General features: G+C 36.6%; 1 protein-coding gene across 4 annotated transcripts in view; it reads right to left on the reverse strand.

Moving 5' to 3' along the window:
• KHDRBS2 (KH RNA binding domain containing, signal transduction associated 2) overlaps positions 1–27625 on the reverse strand; it is a 743556-nt gene that overhangs the window by 77136 nt on the left and 638795 nt on the right. For 3 of the 4 annotated variants that reach the window (NR_146873.3, NR_146874.3, NR_146871.3), the window contains one exon: positions 10429–10696. The exons of the other annotated variant lie outside the window; for it this stretch is intronic. The gene's annotated coding sequence lies outside the window, so the exon portion shown is untranslated. Of the gene's footprint in view, positions 1–10428; positions 10697–27625 lie in introns of those variants that run through there. 4 annotated transcript variants of the gene reach the window in all.

Genomic DNA, 27625 nt, shown 5'->3' on the forward strand with positions numbered 1-27625 from the left:
TCTTCATCCACTCAGTTGATCGGTACTTAGATTGTTCTCACATATTTGCAATTGTGAATTGTGCTTCTATAAACATATATATGCAAGTATCTTTTTCATATAATGAGAAAATGTCTAAATTTTAATCAAAGTCTGTTATTATGCATTAAGACCTTCAGTCTGTAATCTTTCATTTCGATTACTTGTGTAAGGGTTGTTGTGAGGATAAAAATATAGTTATGGATCACTTAGAAAAATGCTTACCACATAATAATTTTTCCATTGCTGTTGGCTATTTCCCCTCAAAACTCCACGTGTAGTTTTTATTTGCCTAAATCAGTTTTAATTAAAAATTCTATTTTAAAAATATGCAATATAAAATGAATCAAAAAATAAAACTATAAGCATTCAGAAGTTTAAATCCACTTTCTTAATTCCTTTTCACTGACTTTGGTAATCATTAAAAAAAAAATTCTTAATCTACCAGTGACCTTTAAGCAAATAGACTTAAGGAGCCTATTTCATTAGTAGTATTATTGATTCTTTTAATTGAGATTTTACATATTTATATATTATGTACTTAAAACAGTATCTATTCTTTCCAAAGTTCCTTTGCTGAGCCAGAGAGTATACAGTTAGTAATTACAGTGTTTTATTGAAGAGTCAGCATGGCTTCTGGATCCAGACTAACTTGAATTAAAGTTCTATCTCTGCAGCTTACAAGATGTATTGTTCTGTGAAGTTACTCAATGTTGCTAAGTTAAATTTCACCATTGCAAAAGGGAAACAATAACATTTACAGAGAGTAAGTGAAATGTGGTAGCCATGGAGTTGTGACCCTTAGATCTTCCTTCAGGAGAAACTGCTGCAAAGAGAGCAGTTGGGAAGAGCCTCCATCTGCTGCTTCTTCCCACTCAGCATTCACCTAGAGGCTACTATTACTCTAGGCTACTCCCAGCTGATAGCTGAAATCAGAAGGGACTTATAGCTGGGCTACTCCTGCCCAATGCAGGAGTTTGCTGATTGGCAATCTTTGCTTTGGGATCTCCACAGTGAAAGCTAAAATTATTATTTAAAGCTCCTGCTACCCATTCTTCCTTCCTTGCCTCACTCCATTTATATATGTTAGATCTGCATTGCAATCTGAAGTCTCCTTCTCTATTCCTACCCCTCTCTTTTATCCCTAATATGTATCTCCAATAATTCTCTTGCACTTCTGCCTCTCCCTTGGAATCTGCTTCTCATAGGACTCAAAGTGACCCCATTAATATAGAAGCAGTTCGAGAAAGGATGCAATATGATGGGGCTGGGGACTACATTGCTTACTGCCCAGCTGGCATGAAGGACACCGGCCTGAGTAGAATGTAGGGTACAGAAAATCCGTGGCAGAAGATGGAGGCCTAATTGCTGAAAAGGCATCCACTGATAACCTAGAAAACCATCCCGGTGGAGGGGAATCCCCTTGCCAGTACAATAATCCAGTCATTTGAAATATATAAGGAAGAACAATGCCTACACAGATGGTGGAGTCATACATTTATTACTAACTTGTATTGACTCCTGTAAAGGGAAAATTAGAAATGAAAACTAATTGTGGGTAGCAAGTAGTTAATAGATAGACATGAAACCAGAGGACTTTTTGGTAGCTTAGAAAGAGCCCCTTATCTCATTCAGTGAAAGAGCTGACACAGCTGAGTAGCAGGCTAAAGGTCCCACAGTTAATAGCTCTCAATTAAGAGCTCCGGAGACATTTAAATACACAGCCAAATGAGGTCTGTTCCAATAAGGGAAAATCTGGCCCACTGAAACATTGGATGGGACATCTGGGTGGATGGTCTGAAATATTTTTATACTTGTGGTGAACACACTCTAAAGTAACCCCCAATGATCCACGTTCTTGTATAATTCCTTCTCTTTTAGTGTGGGTAGGACCTCTGACTTGCTTCTAATCATAACAGAACATGGCAAAAGTGGTAAGATGTTACTCCTGTGGGTATGTTTCATTTATATAAGACTCACATTTTAACAGATTGGAAAGAGAGCTTCTCTTGCTAGCCTTGAAGAAGCAAATAGCCATCAATGAACTGACCACAGAGGGGATCCCATGAGAAGGTATTTAGGTATTCTTTAGCACCTGAAAAAAGCTTCACCATAGAGATAGTAAGAAGCTTCGACCTCAGTTATACAGCCAGAAGTATATAATTCATCACAGCCTGAATGAGCTTGGAAGTAGATGTTTTTCCCCAGCAACGTTTTAATTGTAGCCTTGTGAGAACCTGGGCAGAGGATCTAGCTAAACTCTACACTTTTGACCTACAGGAACTTTAAGATAATAAATGTGCATTAAGTTGCTAAGCTTATTGTAATTTATTACACAGAAATAAAAACTAATGTAGCATGGTAAATTCCTTTAAACCTTAACTGCTTGCAAAGGTGTTCACATCTCTCTATTAAGGGATTTCCCTATGTGTGAGGACACTATGAAGTTCTCTCCTCTGTAAGGCAACAGACACCCCTTCAGGAGTTGCCTCATCTCCCCTTTTTGGCTATTGGGTCAATAACCAGCATTAAATCTCAGCATAACCTGGCTAGAAACATGCTGAACCTGACAGTGGAGGAAAGAGATTATATCCAAAGGAACTGCAAAAATTCATTAACATGTACCAGATAGATTCAAGAGAGTGCCGATAAGATGGATTTTATGATTGCTTGATCAAGTAAGCCAGAATGTAAGTCTGAATATGCAAAGATGTCTTCATTGACTGGGGTGTCTTTTATTGGAACAAAAGATTTAACACTACAGCAAAGACCATAGGGGATAATGCAAACTCAGCGTTAGAGGGGCAGTTAGAAGCCTGGGGAAAGTGATGGCCCATTCTAAACAAAGTGGAAATGCCTGAGTTTCCCCGGCAGGAAGTGAACATGCTTGAATGGCTGTAAGACCCGAAAACCAAACAGAGGATTGTATTGCATGGAAGAGCCCAGAATACACACCATTCATTGAGGTCAAGAATGAGAATATGATAGGGGCATCTGCATCACCAAGAACGTCAGTGGTAGCTCTCCTCTGCAAGCCAGGGCTGATGGTCAGATAAGTGTTCACAGAACTGGCTTTGTTAATGGCAAAGGGAATAATGGGACCTAAAGAAAGAGAGCCAATTTGGAGGTGTTTGATTGCCTGAAGCTGGGAGATCACAGTTACTATAATGATTGGCAGGATAGGAAGGGCAGCCATGAGGACTTGACTTGCAAGAAATTATGGGGATGCTTATGGCATCTCTAGGATAAAATTAGATGGACAGTCAATGAGGGGGCTGTTTTACATTTACAAACAGAAGAAGGCAAACATGAAAGAACATGAGTCTAAAGGCAGTTGCCCTTATTAAAAGTCATGATCCCTTGCTCAGTTCCTGAATCCGAACATATTTTCTGGTATAATGCCTATTGAATAAGAGATATGGGTTCCAGGAGGAAGGATGCTGTAACAATGCAGCAAGAACAGACTGTAAAGGTTCCTCCAGTTCTGTGGCAAATCCTACAGTGTTGGAAATGTCAGTGGTGGGTAAGTATGCAGTATGGTATTTATAAGCCTTAGTGGGAACATTATAACACAGGTCTCTGGAGTTCTGGAGCCATCTGTGGCAGAATAATATATGCCTTCTGAGAAACAGCTCCTGCTGTGTTGCTGAGCCCTGATAGAGACATACTGTTGTCCATGGAGTAATAGGCAGCCTTCCACTCAGTATTACTTATTAGAAACTGGATTCTGTTGGACCCAGAAATCATAAAGTTGAATGGGTCCATTAGCATTCCATTTATTTTAAGATGGAAATAATACATCATTGATTAAGCCTGAGCAGAATAAGAGGGCAGGAGTATGAAACATAAGCAGGTAGCCCTTTTAGGGTTCATGTTACCCACCACAATTGCTTCAGTGCCTGTGCTCCAGCTTGCACACATGGCCTGATAGAGTTTGTCCCCTATGACCGACTGAAGAAGGGAAAATAGCCTGTCTAGCTTATGAATAGGTCAGTTTGATATGTGGGAGTGAACTGAAAATTGGTAGTGGTTGCATTACAGTCACATTCAGGGATGGCTTTAAAACACAGTGGAGAGAGAAACTTTTCCTAATGGGTAGAGCTGCAAGTTAGTCACCTGGTTATCTACTTTGTAGGAGAGGAAGAGTGTCATGAGGTGAAAACATATACAAATTCTTGGCTAGAAGCCAATGGCCTAACACTGGAAAAGAAAAAGTTTAGAACATTAAAGACAAGGAGGTCTGGGGTAGAAGTAGCAGAAAGACATATGGGAGAGGATACAAAGTTTGAAGAATTTTGTATCATATGTCAATGCCAAGAAATTTCCTACTACAGCAGAAGTCCTGAATAACCAAGCAGACAAAACGATTTGTCCAGTGACTTCAGAAAGCCTTTTTCATTGACCCTCCAGAGATGGCATGATGGGCAGATGAACAGCCTAGCCACAGTGGCCTAGATGTGGCTATACACTGGCTCTGTGGCCACTTAACCAAGGCTTATCCAGCTATTGGCACCTCTGAATGGTCAACCTTCCAACAACAAACACCAAGTGGACACTTGTTGACAATTCAAGTACATTGGTGTTGTTCCTTTCTAGAAGAACCAGGAGATCACCCTCACAGGGATAGAAATACTTTTATTACGAGTAGGGGTAATACTTATGGCTTTGAGTTTTCTTTCCACAGACTTAAGTCCGCACCATTTGCCTACTAAAATGTTGATCCACAGACATGGAATCTGTAACATAACATCCAACAAGAGGAACTACTTCATTACAAGTATGGTACAAAATTGGGCTACTGATTGAATCACATACCACAACACCCAGAGGCAGCTGGTGTCCCATAATGCTGGAAGGCACTTCTATGGCACCGCTGGAGTGACACCTTGATGGCAATGCTGGACAAGGGTGGGTTGGTATACTTTGGGACACGATATATACGCTAAGTCAGAGGTCTAAATAGGAAGGCTATATGGACCCAAGAACCAAGGGCTGGAGAAAAAATGGCACCCTAACCATCTGCCATTAGTTCTAATGACCCACTTGGAGGTCCTAGTCTGCAAAAGGGGCAAACTCTTGCCAAGGAAAACAGCAGAGATTCTGTTAAACTACAAGATAGAGCTGCTCCTGGGAGTGTTAAACTTTGTATCCAGAAGACAGCAGGAGAGAAGTCATCATCCTGGCAGGAGAAATTGAACCTGATCTCCCAAATGAGGTGTTTGCTTTTACCGTAAGGGGAGAGAGGTATGCGTGTGGAATCCAGGTGATCTACTTTGATGCCTTGTGGGATTCTCTTGTTCAATTTTAATGGTTAATTGACATGTGCAGCACTCCTAGTTTGAGAAAAGTATGATTACCTCAGGCTGACCTATCAGGAATGAGTATCCAGGTCATGTCACCAGGTAAACGAGCAGGACCTCTGGGACTAACTACAGAGATGGGGTTGTAATTTGTCTTCCTAACTTTCCTCTTTTAGAATTTCTCTCAGGGAGAGTGGCCCACAGGAATGAGGGAATACTTCCTGAAAATGTGTGCAGAGACTCTGAGGCATTCGAGATGGACTGTGGTGGCCATGGAAGTGTACCACGCAGATATCTCCTTCAAGAGAATCTGATGCAAGAATAGTTGGCAAATAGCTTCTAGTTGCTACATTTTTGGATGCATCACAGTGTTCATGTAAAGTTCATGCTCTTCCTGGGCTGTCCCTAGCCCAGGAATAGCCTGAGGACAGCAGAGCGACTAGGGCCAGGCAATTCCTGCCTGACACAGCACTAAGCTGAGAGCCCATCTTTGCTTTCGGATTGTACTGTTCACCCTACCCAAGCTCTCCTCTTTTCTTCTCTGTTTTCACAGATGTCAGACTTGCATCAGAAACTGGAGGCTTTTCCTGCTCCTGCTCCTCTTTTTTATTCTCTGCAGTTATTTCTCCCAGTAATCACTTACACATCTAATTCCGTCTTGGAATCTGCTTTTCACAGGATTCAAACGGGCACATCAGATAAGCCTATGAAAGTTCTCATTGTGATTAAAACTAAGCACTCTAATATGTGATAGAAATGGTTTATTTCTTAAACAACTTTCTAATAACTCCTAACCATGGAATTGTGAATAATTTGCATGCATATACATTTTGATTATGTGAGCAAATGGATATAATATTGCATTTATTAATTTGAAATAACAGACATGTTCATCTATATTTGCCACATGTCCATAATCTATTAATGAAGTATAGAGAAGCAAAATTCCAATATAGTGTATTATAATTTGTCATACAGTATATTCCTCTTCTACTTATAGACATACTTTAAAGGAAGTCATATTCCTTCTGGAATCCAGCTCTGATCATTCAAAGGTTGAACAATAAATAGCCTAAATAGCAATATATATTTTATATAGTTTTTAATTGTGCGACTGTTGCAGAAAAAGATAAAAAACCATATTTTTAATTTGCATAAAATCCTCTTCAGAGGTAGATACATGTGAGTATTGTTGCAGGTACAGAGGGTAGGCTGGTTGGTCTTCTGTTGTTTCTTAGCTGAAAACTGCAGTATTCTGTGACATTGAATTAAAATGAGAACATGCCAAATAGGGTAATTACAGCTAAGTTTCCACTGGTATGCAATGCAGAAAATACAGTGAGCATTAATATTTTTGACCTCATTACTTTTGCATTTGTCTAACAAGAAAGAAGTATTTAAGTCACTGCTATGTTAACTTTGGACTTATGTATTTTTTGAAATCACTCTTTTTTTAGAGATTTATCTGCTCATAAAAGATATATATTCTAGACATTTGGTTAAGAAAGGAGATGCAAAAAGAGTTATTTCTATTCAAGATGAAGTTAGTGTCAGGCTAAAAGTTGATTTATTTAGAAAAATATGCTGTCTATGTTCGGGTGGCTTTTCCTATGCATACTGTCTTGTCAAGGACTCTGCCCTCAACTGCAGCACTTGCTGAGTAGCTATGAAAAATGAATTATATATCATGTGACCTTTTACTTTGTGGCTGAAGCCACATCTCTAGTCTTCATTTCTCTCTCTCTTCAGTTTTTTTTTTGGAGTTTCATCTGCCTGCTGGAGTTTCCACCTGAAAGAGCTAAGAGTTACCTCAAATTCATTCTGTTGTGTAGTAAAGAATTTGGCTGGGGCCGGGCGCGGTGGCTCACGCCTGTAATCCCAGCACTTTGGGAGGCCGAGGCGGGAGGATCACGAGGTCAGGAGATCGAGACCATCCTGGCTAACACGGTGAAACCCCGTCTCTACTAAAAATACAAAAAATTAGCCGGGCGTGGTAGCGGGCGCCTGTAGTCCCAGCTACTCGGGAGGCTGAGGCAGGAGAATGGCGTGAACCTGGGAGGCGGAGCTTGCAGTGAGCCGAGATCGCGCCACTGCACTCCAGCCTGGGCGACAGAGCGAGACTCCGTCTCAAAAAAAAAAAAAAAAAAAAAAAAAAAAAAGAATTTGGCTGGTTTTTGTCTTTGGTCCTTGGGTGGAAGCCTCCAAACCCTTGGATTTCCCACGTGATAGGAGTGTTTGTTATTTATGGTTTATTAGCATAAACACCTGAGTTTATGCTAATGAGATGATTCATGGAGAACCTCTAGATAGTTTATGCTGATTAGATGAGTACAGATTGGGGCTGGCCATGCCAGAAAGTCCTATCATGTGATTACAGGGTTGGGGCTTTGAGCCATGTGATCTTGGCCTGACTTCTGGCTTAGAAGAAGAAGGAGGCTGAATTTTGAGTTCAACTTTATGGCCAATGAATCAATCAGTCATGCCTATATAATGAAGCCCCAATAAAAACTCAATACAATGAAGCTCAGTTCAGTTTTCTGGTTGGTGATACACATTGATGTGCCAAGTGGTTGATGCATTCTGGGGACATGGATGATTCATGTTTGGAAGCCTCTCAGATCTTGCCCTATGCATTTCTTTATTTGGTTGGTCTTGATTTTCATCTCTTCTAACAAAACCGTAATTCTGAATTTTCTGAAGTATTAATATAATTTCTTGAACTCTGTAAGTTGTTCTAGTGAATTTTCAAACCTGAGGGGTTAGTGAGAACCTCAAAAAACATAGCCGGTTGGTCCCAAGTATGGGTGGCCTGGGAACTCTAGACCTTGTGACTGGAGTCTCAAGTGAGGGTAGTCTTGTGGGGTCTGTGCCCTTAACCTGTGTAATTTGACCTAACTTGGTTTGTTAGTATCTGAACTGCATTGCATATTCTTTAGATCCTGAAGCATAATCCTTTCCCAGAGCCAACAAGCTTACCTGCTGAACTTTGTTTCTCTTCCCACATTGTCAGCCATGCAGTCTAATTTCTTCCCATAAACCTCTTATGTGCTTTGGCTTCAGTTCATGTCCACTGGTACATGTGTAGCCTTTTTTTTTTTTTTTTTTTTTTTTTTTTTTTCAACCTGGGCTGTTTCAATACTACTTAAACTGGCTTATCTTCACGGTAATCTATTCTGTATTTCCCAGTGAAGTTCATCTTCCTCACACTCTCTTCAAACTCAAATATCTTTTTCAGAGATGTCTAGCTAGTACCCACTGCAACATCTCTCAAGTAGCAGGCACACATGTATATGTTGAATAAATGTCTCCCTGTTGTCCAAACTCCGCAGCTGCAGGGGAACCTGCAATTGTCTCCTACGTACCTCTTCAACCTTATCTTCTCTTCCTTCTGTAAATGAATCCTGTGTTCCAAACCAATTACTTTACTCATTACTTTGCTTACTCTCAAACACTATGGATCCATCCCCTCTCCACTGACCAAACAGTGCCTGTCAAAAAGGCTCTGTCTCCCTTTGTACTAAGTTCCATCTCTGCTGTGTGTCTTTTTACAGTTCTCCATTCCTTAGGGATAGCTCTCACTTCTGAATTTTTGTAGCACTTATTGTATGCATACTTCCATACTGTATGTGTTGTGTTGTATGTGGTTATCAATTGGCTACTAGTCTAAACCACACAGGATTTGGGTTATTTTCTATTATTGCAGGTTATTTTGTAAAACTATACCATGGACTTATGAAAACAGGCAAATATAACTTTTTGTGATCTCAAGGACATATGTAATAGATGCATACGTTTTTCAGTTTTGCTGTAATAGTTTCTCTATTGACTGTCTAATTAGTACAGTCAAGTCTGATCTGTAAAAACAATGAAGGTGAGAAAAATATTTTAGCTACTAATTCTTAATATATTCTAATCAACCCAATAATTTAAATGTCCTTGAAATTGTAGAGATAGCATTGTCCATATTGTCCTGCTGATAGCCACAATTACAGAGAAATTCATTTGCTGATATTCATTTGCTGTTCTTCATTAGGGCATGTGTGATTTTTCGCTTACTTGCTCTAATCTAAACTTTTCTTACTTGAATACCCAGATAATAAAGGTTCACTTCTCCCACCATAGAACCAAGCAAAATTGCACCTTTAAGTATAATAAGGTGACCCCCTCTCTTTCTCAACAGAGAAAGAATCATGTCCCAAACATCATTTAAGCAATATAACATTTTCAGGCAGCTTTGCATCTATAATTTGGCATATATTCTTACACTACCATATGCCCATATATAACTGAAGACGAAATATTAGCATTCAATTTTTTCATTTTCTGGTAAAGAGAAAATAAGACTTCAGTCTCGCTAGTCAAAAAAGATACACGATTCAGCATTCACTTAATAGAAAGAGACATACCTTGTGCAGAAATGGCCCTGGTTTGAGAAAACACAACTTTTTAAAGAAAGATAAAGTCCTATAAGTGACTGCAGGGAATTCACTAAGCTTTTTGGGCAAATGGGCTCTGCAGCATTAGGTCTATATTTGCTTTAAAGAGGTTTATACATTCTGAACCTGACTGATCAATAATAATACTATTGAAAAACTATAACGTTATAAAGCTGAATTTTAAAGTGTAGAACACCTAATCTGTGAATAGAGATGAATGTGTTTGAAAATAAAGATGAAGTGAATAGTGAAAATTTACTTTTCTGCAAAGCTTTCTCTGATAAATTTCAAATTTCTTTGTAAGAGTCCACATTATTTTTACTTACTGTCAATGAAAATACATTTTTTCAGATCTTGCTTTGTCAAATATAATCTTGTAGTTCTTCTATATTCCTACACCTGAGCTAATGATTTCTCTCAAATAGTACTTTCAACCATTTACAGGTTTGTGGGTCAATACGCATTTTAAAATGTCCAGTAGGAAATCTTTAAATTAATTTCTATCAATTCAAAGGGATAGCAAAACTATGTGCTGATATAATAGTCTATAAAATGACATGGTGACTGAAAAGTTCAATTATTTTTACTATCTTATTCTTGCCTCTTGAGTTAGTTAAGCTTTATATTGAGCTAAAGAGAAATGAGACTAGTAGAAAGAAATACAAAAAAGTACATATTTTAAACACTTGTTTATTATCTAGTTTTACAGTCATGTGATAAGGTTTGGTAACTGAAGACTATCTTTGAATCAAAGTTGACCTCGGGAGTGAGCCAATGAACATTTTTTGTAGGTAGAGCAAAAGCAAAGGTGAATGGCTGCATTTTGGTGAAGGCCCCCAGCAGCAAGGTGAATGGCTGCATTTTGGTGAAGGCCCCCAGCAGCAACCACTGAAGGTTTTAATGTCTTCCATGGTGAACAGGATTGTATTTGGAGGAAAGTATCTGCAACCAAACCAGACATACATGGATTCAGAAAGGCTGCCTAGGAAATGTCTCATATGCAATCAAGCATTGTTATGGCAATGGTGAGTTGTATGCTTACAGAACAGAAATTCCCAAATGATGCCTGAAACAAGGAAGTGTAGAATAGCTACCAAAAAAGTGAGGTTTCCTAGGAGTCCTCAGACATTGAGCCAGAGAAGAGAGTGGCCTGGAAACAGTGGCAAGAGTATTGAACAGGGGAAAGATTTCATCACATTGCAAGGGAGGGGAGCTTGGGCTCTAAACATGGGGGACATAAACTGTCCCAAAGATGACATTTTGGAGTTTGGTGTATATTTTTAGTGCTGAGTTGAATAGTGAACTCTTATATCACGATTCTGCATACGCTATTTGTCTCTTTGTATTCTGTGGTTTTTTAGACTCTTCAGTGAGAGGCAGGATTGCTTTGGAAACAAATTGCTTTGTCTCAGCTTGGGTTCTCAAGTAACACTTCGTCTTTCTTTGAAGAATACCTGATCTTTTCCAAGGAAGTTAAATTTGATCCAAATTTTGGAAGTGGGAAGAAACATAAAGAAAGATAAGAGGGAAAGGCAGCCATTTACTAGAAGAGACATATCACTAAGTTTTTGGCATCAGGATCAGCAACACGAGACTTATTCAGGACGTGCCATCATTTTAAACAAACAGTTTATGAGCACTGCTTACATGCTAATATAATGTTAGATATTGGAGCTATAAAGACAAATAGTTTCCTTCTGCCCTAAGGAAACTTATATCTTTACAGGGGACACAGACGAATAAGCCAAAAAAAAAAAAAAAAAAAAAAAAAAAAAAAAGACAATACAGTGTGTTACATTTTCTGGTGGTAAGTTTGCTGGAGGTACTTTGGGAGAGGCATACCTAACCCACTTCAGGAGCAAGGGGGAAGGGTTAGAAAATATTTTCAAGGAAGTAGTGGCTGAATTAAGTCTAAATATCAAATATGTCTTTGTGAGTGTTTGTGTAAAGGGCTATCTGTTGAATTGCGACAAGTAATTATAGCAGTGGTGTTCAGAGATGAGTTGGTATTGTGTCTTGAATGTCAACCAGAGAATTCTGACTTGATAGAAATAGGAGATCATTTAAATTTTTAAGCTGGGAGCAACAATATGGCAGAAATCCTTCTAAAGCTTTGTGTCCATAGATCAATCAGATGGAAAGGGGATTGGAAATGGAGACGTAAGTTAGTTATTTTGTTAAACAACTTGAGTGTAGGGCAATGGAAACCTGAATCTAGGACGGTGGTTATGGGGAAAACACAAATCGTCTGAATGTGAGTCTGGATTCTGAGTTTGTCTCCAGTGGCTTTTCCTTAGGAATGGTCATTTCATCAAAACTAGAGGAGAGAAGAAAACTATAAATCAATCCGCAAGAGCATCCAACTGATAACTGGTTCAAAGACTATCTGTGAAACTCTTTTGTGATGTAAATATAGATTTTGAAAGGGACATGAGAATAAACATAAACAGAGAACAAGGTAAAAGTTGGTTTCTAGATGAAGGTACTAGTGTCCACTTACATGCCCTTTATCCTTTTGTTTAACATTGCTTCTGCTACTGTTTTTTCATCATTATGAAAATTTCTTAAAAGAAGATAGGACTATGTGAAAGGATTGGCACCAAGTATTATGAGTATGGCCAATAGAAACTTGTAGTCAAAATAAATTTTGATATACCTAAATGTTATTTGGATACCAAATGATCTTTAGAAGAAAGTGATATGTGATACTTTAGAAGAAAGTCCTAGTATGAGAATCTAGTAAACTCAAATAATTTATCATGATAAATATCAGTGCAGTAAAGGAGGAAGAAAACACTTAAGGAGACTTTATACTTCATGCATTGTACTAGGCGTTTTACTAGAATAAAAATACTTCATGAATTAGAATGTGCACAGATCATATTTTATTATCTTGGTTGAGAAATTTAGTAGAATACGTTAGTTCATCCTAACAAATAAGATTAAAGCATAAACAATTTTGAAAAATAATTTAGAAATCAAAAAGTAAAAGTTCATATGAAATTTAAAACTTTCAGGCAATTGATTGTGAATGGCATATTCTTGATTGCATGTATTTTCTACTTTTGTTTATATGTAATTCTGTTGTTGCCTATGCTTTAGGTCAATCCCTATGAAGATGGTTAATTTTCATTGCTCTGTTGGTTGAAGCTACTTCTTCTGGCAGGGTCACTGCACATTTTCTCAGGGGTGGTTCACCTCAAATTCATCGCTGCCACACGAAAATTAACAAAGCAGATATCCCACAGATCTCAGGTCACAATAATAGTTTTCCCATACATGAAGGGCAGTGTGCAATTACACAAATATAAATGAAAATTAATATTCTCTTTGCTTAAAAATTCTAATTTATCTCTCAGTTACCTCTTTTGAAGTATTCATGTTTTGAGGTTAAAAAAAGAACTGAGTAAAAGCCTACTTATAACAAAATAAATTACCCTTTGATATCCAGTGCAGCAACCTAGTATTTGAGAAAAACAGAACTCCACAAAGGCTTACTATATTCAGAATTTGACAAAGTGTGACCCATTTACAGAAGCAGAAAATGCACCACAGGTAATTTAGTGTTTCTTATTTTTCTTCCAAAAGCAGATAAATTGTATTTACCAGCCAAATAAAAGAACTGTTTCCAAACTTACTTGTTTAGAGAAAAATAGAGAAACAGGGGGGGAAAATACAATAATTTTGACTGAGAAAGATACTCTCGAAATATGAAATGTGGAGGGCTTCAAAAGATCTCATAAGAATGTCAAAATATGGGAAGTATTTGATGAACTTATTTTAAAAATAATTGTTGCTATAGATCCCTACAGACCCTTTACACACTGTGAGGATATTGAACAATTTACAGATGCCACATGTTCACACTGCCACTTTTATAGGTAATTTCTAAGATTATTGTCAGAATTTTAAATATACTGGAAAAAGAAAAAACAACATTAAAATACAAAATCTGCAATCTGGCTTAGGTATTCTCCTAAGTGCTCATATCTACAGTAGCACTTTTTCTATTTTTCTGCATGTGCCATTTTAATTTTTTCTCCTTTATGAGAACATCAACTCCTTAAAAATGGGGAACTCTGTCTTGCACATCCTCATGTGCCCAGTCCCTTGTACTGCACTTAACACATAATAGATGTATCCACACATGTTTGCCAAATATAAGAATGAGCAAACAAACACTGGAGCCCAAGGGCAATTCTTTATTAAAAGAGTATATATTAATATATAGATTGAGATACCTTTATATTACTCAAGTGTTGAAAATAGTTCCATATGTTCACTGATGTTTATATCTTCCAGAAGTCCTCTCAAAAAGGACTTACATAATACTCATTTGTATCATTTAAGTTTTATAAAGTACCAAAATAGCATGCCATTGTAATTAATACTGTAATTAATATTACTTTAAAAATTCTAAGTGGTGAACATTATGTTGATAAACTGGGACAATGGCAGAGACGTCATTTATTAACCACATTTTTAGATTTCACACTGAGCTACGTATGCTTTAAGTCTAAGTCAGAGTTGGGACTAAAATTGTTTTTGTTTTTTATTTAGTTCAATATAAACTTAAAATTATATAGAAGGATTTAAAAAGGCTTTCAAATGCAGTTCCTTTATTTGTCAACAATCACTCCCAGTGGCCGGGTCAGACAGATCAGATGTGGCTAGAATGACTTGTGTCCACAATGCTGCAGATCAAATTAAAAAAAAAAAAGTTGGAAATGGCTTTTGGGACCCTTGGAAACCACTTCCAGTCTAAAGCCACAAGGACAGAAATAATCAATAATGGTAGCCATTTGGTTTCATTCATTTCTTTTAATGAACATGCTCACAACTCACTAAAAGCATTCTTACTGGACTGGGATGGATTTCAATTCTCTGGTGACTGACAAAAATAGAGCCTTTGATGAAACCTGTGGTGTTGCATTGCTCTCCATTGTCTTTCCCTGTCCTAATAGACACTGGTGTTGTTTAACTCCGAAAATTGCCATCTTGGTAGAGACTGACAAACAGTTGATCTGTAACTATTAGCTAAATTCTCCCCATGATTTTTGATTCAATTTATTTTAGGAAAGCATCTACAAACTGCAGAGCAGTTTCAAATATGTAAAATCTGTAAACGTAGGCATAAAGGTCTCAAGAAAAAATGGGCTCAGAGTTGATTTAATCAGTGTATTAATATTCAATAGGATAATTTCCATTTCTGTAGTCACTGCCCTAGTTCAAGTAAGCATTAATTTGTATCTAATAAAGTGTCATTAATACTGTGGATACTTAAAAATTGCTTTTGATAAATGAACAACATCTGGCTTATTGCAGCAGCCTCTTAACTTGTCTCACTTTATTTAAGTTCCTTCCAATTATTATCTATTTTATAGCTAACTGCCAAAAAAAGAAGCTTTCTTGTAATTTTCCAACATGGGTAATTTCTTGCTTATGAAACTAGTTTTCTTTTTTTAACAAAATCAAAATTCCTGTGCTTGAGATGAAATTTTCTCCATCAATTTTCCTAGGTTTTCATTTCTTACTATCCAATTAATCTCATTACTTCATTGCATCAGCATTTTTCAAAAAGTATGTTTTAATTTTTTGATGACAACTAAATGTAGTCATCATTTTAAAAATGCAGTTTAAGAATTTCTAAAATAAGTATACCAGCCCATTGGTAAACAAAGAATAGAAGGTCTCTATGATTTCAGAAAATGCCCTTTTCTCATATCCAAGTCAGAATGACTTGGGCAAGAATGGGAGAAGACGTGAAGATAAAAGGGAAGTGATGACTGGTCTGTCTCTGTCAGTTGCTTCTTTTTCTCCCTAATTTTAAAACCGTAATGTCTGCAAATGAAAGGATTTAGTGTTCAAAGGGATAATACATCTTTTTAGAGGGAATGAACAGTATGGTTACTGACCAAGTGTAAATTTACTTAAGTGCACATTTAGGGGCTTCTCAGGGGTTCTAGTATTATGGTTGCATATCACCTGAAATTGAATTTTGTCCTGCCCTAATGTTTCATGTTGCAAAGGGGGAAATGAAGATAAACTGAAATGAATGACTAAATCTAGGCTTTTTAATAATTATTTTTCTTCAACAAGATAATTCAACTTAAATCTCAAGGCCTGGAACAGAAAAGGTGTTCTTTACATACCTACTATCCATGTTGAGGTTCCCATCACACAAACAAACTTTCAAAACTTGTTAAATAAAAATCATTATTAAAAAGCCTATATTCATAGTTTCTAGGTCACTGGAGATTTATTATTGAGAATGATATCATCTTTTCCTTTACCATTCTAATTCATCAGTTACAACTTTTCACTTTATGGAGTCGCAGAGAATCTGAGTACATCTCCCAAACAGGTCTAGCATCAGGTATCAACTGTATTACAAGAAATCAAGCTCAACAACAATTTCCAAGATCAAACATAGAAGAAAATTATAGAGTTAACTTTTTCACTTGTCTTCCTTTCTTATCCTATGCTGGGAAATACATATTCCACAATATTCCGTAGTTTCTTTCAAATTATGTTTTTAATGGAATCCCACACCTAAAATGAACTTTTTTGTATGGTCAAATCATTCTTCCCAGAACTGCCATTATAACATTTTGAAAATGATGCTTTATTCATTTCATTTACATGTTCAAATGACATCTGCAAAATGAGAAACATCCTCTTTACTTTACTTTCAAGAACCTCCATAATTTGATTTCTATTTACTGTATCAGGTTTTATTTACTAATCACCTCTAAAACATTGAATTCTATGACTCCTGAACATAATTTAAACTTATTAATTTGTCTCCCCATCTGGAGTTTAGCCACCTTCTCTGTTCTTGAAATGCTCTCCTCTTCTCAACCTATTCATATTAGTCCTCATACCTTTATGGACTTCCCTTGATTCCTCAAATGGAAATTGTTCTCATTAACAAAATGTATATAGGACTTTCCATCTAATCTTGTGACTCAATACTGCATGTGATTTTGCACTCAGCTCCCAGGGGACATTTGGCAATGTCTGGAGACAGTTTTGGTTGTCACAACTGGGCAGATGCTATTGGCATCTAATGGATAGAGGTCAGAGATGCTGCTAAATATTCCACAATATATACGATGGCTCTCCACCACTAAGAAGTATCTGATTCAAAATGTCAGTAGTGTTGCTGTTGAAAAATCCTAACCTAATTCAATCTTACACCTCTATTTCAAACCTGCCTATAATTTTACTTCTATATGTATGTGTTAATCATCTGTAGTAGAATACAAGCCTTTGAAATACTAGGACCACATCTCATGCATAATTTTATTTCTTCAAAAGGCCTAGCACAAAGGCTGGTATATGCATGGGCACTCAAAAATATTAAAAAACCTATGTGACATAGAATATCTAGGTCACTATTTGTTGAATAAACATACAAGAAGACACTAACCAATAAAGCTACATTAAGTTCAACATATACTTTTTTCTTTTTTTATTTATTATTATTATACTTTAAGTTGTAGGGTACATGTGCACAATGTGCAGGTTTGTTACATACGTATACATGTGCCATGCTGGTGTGCTGTACCCACTAACTCGTCATCTAGCATTAAGTATATCTCCCAATGCTATCCCACCCCTGTCCCCCCACCCCACAACAGTACCCAGAGTGTGATGTTCCTCTTCCTGTGGCCATGTGTTCTCATTGTTCAATTTCCACCTATGAGTGAGAATATGCGGTGTTTGTTTTTTTGTTCTTGCGATAGTTTGCTGAGAATGATGGTTTCCAGTTTCATCCATGTCCCTACAAAGGACATGAACTCATCATTTTTTATGGCTGCATAGTATTCTGTGGTGTATATGTGCCACATTTTCTTAATCCAGTCTATCATTGTTGGACATTTGGGTTGGTTCCAAGTCTTTGCTATTGTGAATTATGCCACAATAAACATATGTGTGCGTGTGTCTTTATAGCAGCATGATTTATAGTCCTTTGGGTATATACCCAGTAATGGGATGGCTGGGTCAAATGGTATTTCTAGTTCTAGATCCCTGAAGAATCGCCACACTGACTTCCACAATGGTTGAACTAGTTTACAGTCCCACCAACAGTGTAAAAGTGTTCCTATTTCTCCAAATCCTCTCCAGCACCTGTTGTTTCCTGACTTTTTAATGATCGCCATTCTAACTGGTGTGAGATGGTATCTCATTGTGGTTTTGATTTGCATTTCTCTGATGGCCAGTGATGGTGAGCATTTTTTCATGTGTTTTTTGGCAGCATAAATGTCTTCTTTTGAGAAGTGTCTGTTCATGTCCTTTGCCCACTTTTTGATGGGGGTGTTTGTTTTTTTCTTGTAAATTTGTTTGAGTTCATTGTAGATTCTGGATATTAGCCCTTTTCAGATGAGTAGGTTGCGAAAATTTTCTCCCATTTTGTAGGTTGCCTGTTCACTCTGATGGTAGTTTCTTTTGCTGTGCAGAAGCTCTTTAGTTTAATTAGATCCCATTTGTCAATTTTGGCTTTGGTTGCCATTACTGCCCAAGGTAATTTACAGATTCAATGTCTTCCCCATCAAGCTACCAATGACTTTCTTCTCAGAATTGGAGAAAGCTACTTTAAAGTTCATATGGAACCAAAAAAGAGCCCGCATCACCAAGTCAATCCTGAGCCAAAAGAACAAAGCTGGAGGCATCACACTACCTGACTTCAAACTATACTACAAGGCTACAGTAACCAAAACAGCATGGTACTGGTACCAAAACAGAGATATAGATCAATGGAACAGAACAGAGCCCTCAGAAATAATGCCGCATATCTACAACTATCTGATCTTTGACAAATCTGAGAAAAACAAGCAATGGGGAAAGGATTCCCTATTTAATAAATGGTGCTGGGAAAACTGGCTAGCCATATATAGAAAGCTGAAACTGGATCCCTTCCTTACACCTTATACAAAAATCAATTCAAGATGGATTAAAGACTTAAGCCTTAGACCTAAAACCATAAAAACCCTGGAAGAAAACCTAGGCATTACCATTCAGGGCATAGGCATGGGCAAGGACTTCATGTCTAAAACACCAAAAGTTCAACATATACTTTCTTTGATGACTTTGATAATTGAGCTGTCATTTGAAGATCTTTTAACAGTAAAAATCAATTAGCATTATTCTGGTAAAGAGAGAATTTATAGTTCAACATATATAATTATAGCTGAGAAGCAGAAAAATATTATAAACTTCAACATATTTTTATAATAGATGAAAAGTTTGGAGTTTGAGGTTTGCAGAGCTAATGTATCTATCTTTAATAGAGTTATCTTCTGTCTCTCCTATGTTAAATGTGTCGAGTTGTTGTTGTTGTCTTAATGTGCTACAAACAACTAATACTTGCTTTATGAAGTTCTCTCAGCTGCTATACAGTAGGTGCTGGTTAAATCAGCTCCAATTTGTTTGCATTCCTCTAAGTGGAGCATCTAGCTGTTGGGCAAAATAAAACATTAAATTATCTTGTGAATTTGCTGTAAATATTTGAAAATGATTGCTATTGGAATACATAAACAGTTTTTTAAGTTCCCTTATGAAATGAGCTGATGCATTTTGCTTACTAATTAAATATCTATGTTTACATAATGTCCTACAGTCTCCCATATATGGAAAAATGAATATAGCTTAGTGACTGCCTGCTCTAAAGGACACTGTTCAAGCTTTTTAGCTTGCCATTCAATATCCTGCCAAAGCTGTCCTCTACTTATCTTTTAGGCATATCTCTTTCATAAATATTCTGCTTCTGCTGAATTATTTTACTTATAATTTCTTGAATATATTTCTTACTTTCCTCACCTCTAATATTTATGTCTTTTTCCCTCTTAAAATCTATAGAATGAACATTTTTCTATCACAGATTGAGCTTTCTCTTTTTACCCTTCTCCCAATCCAACCTCCTCTTGAATTGCTGGTCACTGTAACTCATCCATCTCACATGCTAACTCTTCCAAAAAGGCCACCCCTCATCTTCCAAACCATACTTCTGCTTTTGAAATGATAGTCCCTATACTACTTAAGTTCTGCTGTCATGTTGTCATTTTATTTGTGCATTTTTATTTTTCCTTTTCCTCAGATGGTAAAGTCTTGGGGGTAGGGACCATGATTTACAGACATCTTTGAATCACACTCAGCACCTAGTAGTACACTGTCCTGTACATAGTAATTGTTCATTATACAGTAGTTAAATAAATGTTGAATGAGTTATGATAGTTATGATATTGCTTTAGAATTGGAAAATGGTGTGACAACCTGGTTATAAAACATAAAATAAAGTGTTTTTCTGATAAATAAATGTCCAGAAAAAAGAAGAGGGGACTGTTATAGATATAATAACCAAATAATCAAACCATAATATGTACAGACATAGTAACCAAAAGTGATGTGTGGACCTTGTTTGGATTTTGATTTGAACAAACTAACTGTAAATGGGCATTTTTGGCACAATTGGTGAAATGCGTAATGGATGATACTAAGAATCTGTGGTATGAGAAAGGCATGCTCATTATGTCAAAATAATTATCAGTTAGAGATGCATACTGAATAATTTTCAAATAACAAGTTTGATATTTGCTTTAAAATATTAGATAAAAAGTATGAGGAATAATAAAAAAAACTTGGCAGCATTTGCCATAATGTTGATAATTATTGCAGCAGAGTAAAGGGTACATGGTATACATTATACTATACCTCTGTAGTTTAGTGTAGGTCTAAATATTTCCATAAAAAGTTTAAATATACATAAAGTAAAATGCCGTAGAATAATCTTTCAGTCATTCATATTGTAGGAAAGTAATTATTCAGTTATTTAAGACACTGACTATAAGAGATTCTATGACTTGAATAAATTTTCATTTCACAGTGTGTAACCCAACACCTAAGACCAATTCAAATACAAAAACATTCCACTGGTCGCTTAATGTCCTACTCTTTTGTATACCACACAAGGCTATTGAATGCTTAGTGAGTCTGGATTTTCACTGTTCTCTAAGGACCCATCATTGTTACTCATAACTGTCTGGCTTAAGAAGGTTGGATTCAACACAATAGATAGTTGCTGACCCAAAAGGATTTACTCTCTTATCCTGAGAATGACCAACAGCCCTGTAAAAGACAGAGCACTTCTTTTTCTTTGCTAGCTGAACTGGATCCATTCATCCTCAATGTCACAGAAGAAAAACGATGTGATGAAAACCTTTCTTGAATAGACATACCAGAGATCAGGTAAGAAATTTTGGACGTGGCCAAGTAGCAAACAGTAAAGAAAGATGGCATTCAAAGGCAGAAAACAGATGAATTGGTGATTTCAACTTCAGACTTACAAAGTCTTTCAGTTTTGTTGCTACTTTCTTAGACAAACTCCTCTTTATTACTCCTTCAATTGATCTGAAACCTCTACTTGGTTATCTGTTAGTATGCTCAAAACCACCCCCACAAAAGCATAAAATCTAAGTTATATTCTTGTGTATGCTATGGGAACACAACCTCCAAAGAAGTGCTCTGCCTTCCCAGTTTTCAATCACCATTAAGCTCTTCCCTCCATTGTCAGAGATGCACCTCCATTTTCCTATGGATTACTTCAGTAAGTTCTGTATCAGTCTCTTGCTTCCAATATTTTCTCTCTGCAACACACACTATGGGGTGCTTTTAGGTTAGGCTTCCTAAAATACAGCAGTTAGCATGCCACTCTCATATTCAAAAGCTTTCACTGGCTCACCATTGCCTATTAAATAAAGCACATTTCTGTTCACTCAGTATTTCAGACCTCACAAATCTGTCTGAAGTCTACACTCTAATCTTGACTTTCTTTAAGCAACTTGAAACTGTAAACCAACTGAACTAATTGCAGGTCCCTGAAAATACTCTGTACTTTTGGGTCTCCATTCTTTCTTCCTATTAAAGCATCTCTTTTTAAACATTTCCACTCAAGGTATCCTCCAATTCTTCATTTCATCATCCCTTAGCATGTAACCTTGTCAGAATTAGCCTCTTACTCTGTAAGAATCTATAGCTTTTCATGTGTATCTTTCTTAGCTATTTCTCTCACTGGTATTATAACATGCTATGAGCTTCATTTCTCTGGTCAACCATAAGCTCTTTGAAAACACAACTGATCTGTTTCATCTTTGTATCCCTAGTCTCTGGCATAGTGGTCTGTACTTACAATATGTTTAGTAGACATTGGTTAAAGGGCTGATAGAAAGAATATTAAAAGTTCTATGCAAAGATAGAGATAGAGGCCAAGCCATGCTTTCACAAATTGAAACATCATGATATTTAAATTCTAGTTATGAGATAAATTATTATCATTCAATTAGGGCAGTGCTGGAAATTGGATTAAGTACATTCTTTGTTTTGTCACATTTAGTCCTCTCAATTCTACAATTTTAGAGATGTGGGAACTGAGATTTGGAGAGATGAGGTAGCTTGTTTGTATGCCGCCTGAGATTCCCTTTCTAATTATACTATTAACATGTCTACGGAGCTCTAGAGTTCTGATGACATACCATGAGGGACACCTCAAACTAAAACAGAAAATAATCCCAGTTCCTATTCCCTACTTCTGTAACAGAAAAATTTCTGTTTTCTTTGTTTCGTATAGTGAAATTTTTTATTTTTTATATTTTATTTGTACCTTAAATACCTGGAAGATAGGTCATTCACTTTTTTATTTGCCATTATATCACCTATTACCTTTGTCTTATACCTGATAATTTGACATATTTAAATCATTTACTTGAATGCACTGAAATACATAACTCTTCACTTAATGTACTAAGAATAATTTTTAGGCCAGGCGCTGTGGCTCACACCTATAATCCCAGCACTTTTGGAGTCCAAGGCAGGCGGATTGCTTGAGCCCAGGAGTTCAAGACAAGCCTGGGCAACAAGCTGAAACTCTGTTTCTATATTAAAAAAAAAAAAAAAGGTTAGCCGGGCATGGTGGAGTGTGCCTGTGGTCCCAGCTACTGGGGAGGCTGAGGTGGGAGGATGGCTTGAGCCTGGGAGCAGAGGTTGCAGTGAGCTGAAATCACACCAATGTACTCCAGCCTGGGTGACAGAGTGAGACTCCACATCAAAAAAAAAAAAAAGAATAATAAATTTTAAATAAAAATTATAAGTTGCATTTAATTCCACAAAGCAGGCATGTCATGAGCCTATGTGCCTACATAAATAATGCCATCATGTTCCAACAAATATGTTCTAATCCACTTTTGGAACTGTTCTAAGAATCAATATACGTCTCATAAGAAAATACATTTTATTACTTTATAGTCTAAATTCCTACTTGTCCCAAATAGTTTTGGTTCATTAAAGAAATGTTTTCCACCCTGAAAGGATAAAACCATTGTGAAAATACTTAAAATGTGGTTTTTACATCCAGTGCCAAAAATGACATTTAAAAATTATTTGGGAGATGCATGGCTCACAAAGGTGGCCACTTAAAAGAGAGCTTGAGTGTGTAAATACTGATATGTGTGCATGTATACATATATATTCTGATATGTATGTTCTGATATGTATATACATATACACACACTGTATATTTTTATTTCCCTAGTTATAGCTTATATCAGAAATATCAAGCAAATTCTGTATATAAAAGTTTCAAAAAGATTTGATATGAAAAATTTCTTCTGGGAATGAGAAAGGAAATTTTTTATGATAAAATTTAGCAAGGTTTCATGTTAAAAACTCTCAATAAACTGGGTATTGAATGAATATGCCTCAGAATAACAAGAGCCATCTATGACAAACCACAGCTGACATCATACAGAATGGGCAAAAGCTGGAAGCATTCCCTTTGAAAACAGGCATAAGACAAGGATGCACTCTCTCACCACTCCTATTCAACACAGTATTGGAAACCCTGGCCAGAGCAATCAGGCAAGAGAAAGAAACAAAGGGCATCCAAATAGGAGAGGAAGTCAAACTATCCTTGTTTGCAGACAACATAATTCTACCTCCAGAAAGCCCTATAACTTCAGCCCCAAATCTCCTTGATCTGAAAAACAACTTCAGCAAAGTTTCAGGACATGAAATCAATGTACAAAAATCAATTCCTATACACCCTAAGAGCAGCCATGCCAAAGCCAAATCAAGAACACAATCCCATTCATAATAGCCACAAAAAGAATAAAATACCTAGGAATACAGCCCACTAGGAAGGTGAAAGATCTCTGCAATGAGAATTACAAAACACTGCTCAAAGAAATCAGAAATGACACAAACAAATGAAAACACATTCCATGCTCATGGATAGGAAGAATCAATATCATTAAAATGGTCATACTGCCAAAAGCAATTTACAGATTCAATGCTATTCCTATCAAACTACCAATGACATTCTTCACACAACTAGTAACATTATTTTAAAATTTATATGGAACCAAAATAGAGCCCAAATAGCCAAGGCAATCATAAGCAAAAAGAACAAAGCTGGGGGCATCAAGTTACTTGACTTCAAACTATACTATAGGGCTATAGTAACCAAAACAGCATGGTTCTGGTATGAAAGCAGACACATAGACCAATGGCACAGAATAGAGAGACCAGAAATAAGGCCACACACCTACAACCATCTATTCTTTGACAAAGCCAACAAAAACAAGCAATGGGGAAAGGACTCCTGATTCAAAAATGGTGCTGGGATAACTGGCTAGCCTTATGCAGATGATTGAAACTGGACCCCTTTCTTACACCATATTAAAAATAATCAAGTAACAATGGATTAAAGACTTAAATGTAAAACCCTGAATTATAAAATCCCTGGAAGACAACTTAGGCAATATCATTGTGGACATAGAAATTGGCAAACATTTCATGAAAAAGACCCTAAAAGCAATAGTAATAAAAGCAAGAATTGACAAATGGAATCTAATTAAACTTAAGAGCTTCTGTACAGCAAAAGAAACTATCAACAGAGTAAACACAACCTACAGAATGGGAGAAAGTATTTATTTACAAATTGTGCTCTGACAAAGGTCTAATATCCAGAAATTACAAGGAACTTTGAGCAAATATACAAGAAACAAAAACAACCCCTTTAAAAAGTAGGCAAAAGACATGAACAGACACTTTTCTAAAGAAGACATACATGTGGCCAACAAGCATATGAAGAAAAGCTCAGTATCACTAATCATTAGAGAAGTGCAAATCAAAAAAATAAAGAGATACCATCTTATACTAGTCAGGATGGCTATTATTAAAAAGTCAAAAAATAACAGGTGCTGGCAAGGTTGTGGAGAAAAGGGAATACTTATATACTACTTGTGGGAGTGTAAATTAGTTCAACCACTGTGGAAAGCAGTGAAGCAGTGTGGTGATTCCTTGAAGAGCTAAAAACAGAATTACTATTCAACCCAGCAATCTCATTACTGGGTATATACTCAAAAGAATAAAAATTATTCTACCATAAAGACACATGCATGCCAACATTCTTTGCAGCACTATTCACAATAGCAAAGACATGGAATCAACCTAAATGCCCATCAATGAAAAATTGAATAAAGAAAATGTGGAACATATACATCATGGAATACTATGCAGCCATAAAAAATGAGATCCTGTCCTATGAAGGAACATGGATGGAACTGGAGGCCACCATACTTAGCAAACTAATGCAGAAACAGAAAATGAAATATCACATGTTCTCACTTATAAGTGGTAGCTAAATAATGAGAACATATGGACACATAGAATGGGAAAAGCACACATTAGGGTCTATCAGAGGGTGGGGGTTGGGAGAAGGAAGAGGATCAGAAAACTAACTATTGGGTACTAGGCTTAGCACCTGAGTGATTTAAAAAAAATCTGTACAACAAACTCTTGTGAGATGAATGTACCTACATAAGAAACCTGGACATGTACACTTGAACCTAAAAAAAAAAATTTAAAAACAAAAACATAAAACAACAACAACAAAATACTTTGGCAGCCATAAAAAAAAAAAGGTATTTGAGTAGTCCTTGGAGCTTTGAAATAGCAGATGGATAACCTATGGATATTTCAGGTTAATATTTTCAAAGTGTTTCCTTGAATGTTATCCCCAAAAGATGTAACTGTGTGTGGAAGTTGGTGGAGAAGAAATTGGTAGTTAAATGTGTTGGTCAGATACATCTCTGAAAGACCTAAGGAGCATAATAACACATTAAAGGCTTAGAGACATTTGTCAAGAAAGAAATCTTTAACATCATGTTTCCAATACCTTTGATAATGAATCACTTTTTAAAAATATAACCTTTAATAACATCCTCAATATCTACCTTAAGTAGAACCACAACAGTTAGGCTGATGATTGTGATGGTGGTATGGAGGGTGGTATGGCGGCATCACTCATATTCCTTTTAGTAAACACATATATTTTTGTTCCTTGAACAGTTTCCTGTGCTTGTATCCATCTTATCATTTACCAGTTGTATAACTGTGGCAAGTTATTTAATCTCTGAGTCTCAGTCCTTTTATTTGTAAAATCAAGATAACCTAATATCTATTCATAAGGTTTTAAAGGATTAAACGAGTCAGTCCATATAAAGTACTTAGAACTGCGTTCAATCACTCTATGGTGTGATCTTGGACAATTCCTGTGGCTCAGCTACAAAACATTAATACTTCCACATAATGGCAATCTTTCTTTCTGGCAGTTTTTAGTTATAGGAATGTTATGTAAATGAGCACACACTGCTATAAACAGAGGTATTGTTTTCTACAATGAACACTGAGCTCCCAGAGTAACAAGTCTCTTAACACAGTTTGTGTCCAGATCCCTTGGCTCCCAGATCCAGAGGAGTAGGCAGATGCTTTCAGGGCCATATTTCACAGTATATGTCTTTTCCTCCAAGGACAACTACTTTCTTTTCTTCTGTGTTGCTTTTTGTCAGTTAAAAAAATACAGAAACATCATTATTTGGGGTGTGCAAAAAAATAGCATTTGGTAATTATGGAGACACATGTCAATACATGTTATTCATTTGTCCATTATTAAGAAAATGATTATCCTGGTTTCTTGAACTTATAAAGTTGTGAAGAACATAGCCTCTGTAATTTGGCTTTCACATATGTTCAGAAAAGTCCTTGGAGTTCCCCAGTTCCCATATCATCTTTACCTCCCAGAAAAACATATTTCACTCACCTATGTATGCAACCAGAAAAGTTTATTATATATTTGAGCTCTTTTGTGTCTGACTTTTTATTAGCAAAGAACAAGCAGAAAATGAATATATATGCTACAATTTTATTTATTTATTTATTTTTTGAGACTGAGTCTCACTCAGTCGCCCAGGCTGGAGTGCAGTGGCGTGATCTTGGCTCACTGCAACCTCCTCCTCCGGGGTTCAAGTAATTCTCCCTTCTCAGCTTCCCAAGTAGTTGGGATTACAGGCACCCACCACCATGCCCGGCTAATTTTTGTATGTTTATAGAGATGGGGTTTCACCATATTGGCCAGAGTGGTCTTGAACTCCTGACCTCAGGTGATCCACCCGCCTCGGCCTCCCAAAGTGCTGGGATGACAGGTGTGAGCCACTGTGCCTGGCCCATATGGTAAAAATTTAAATATGCAATTGATCTTTATCGTCTTTACAACCTTTACTCTTATGAGTCTGAGGATAAAATAAGATCAATGAAAAATGATGGTGAAAGTATTTTATATATGGTAAATCATTCTGAAAATATGTTTACTGAGAGCAATAATAACAACTTAGTGTGTGAGGGTTTTCATACTTAGGTTTATAATATTACTTGTTTTATATTTCAAAGGAGGGATCAACCTTAGTATTTTCAAAAACAGATATCGACAAGTCAAAGAAACATGGTGTTTATGTAAGCTAATGTGTAATTATCTATAAT

This window comes from Homo sapiens, chromosome 6, assembly GCF_000001405.40.
Source record: "Homo sapiens chromosome 6, GRCh38.p14 Primary Assembly".
NCBI lineage: Eukaryota > Metazoa > Chordata > Mammalia > Primates > Hominidae > Homo > Homo sapiens.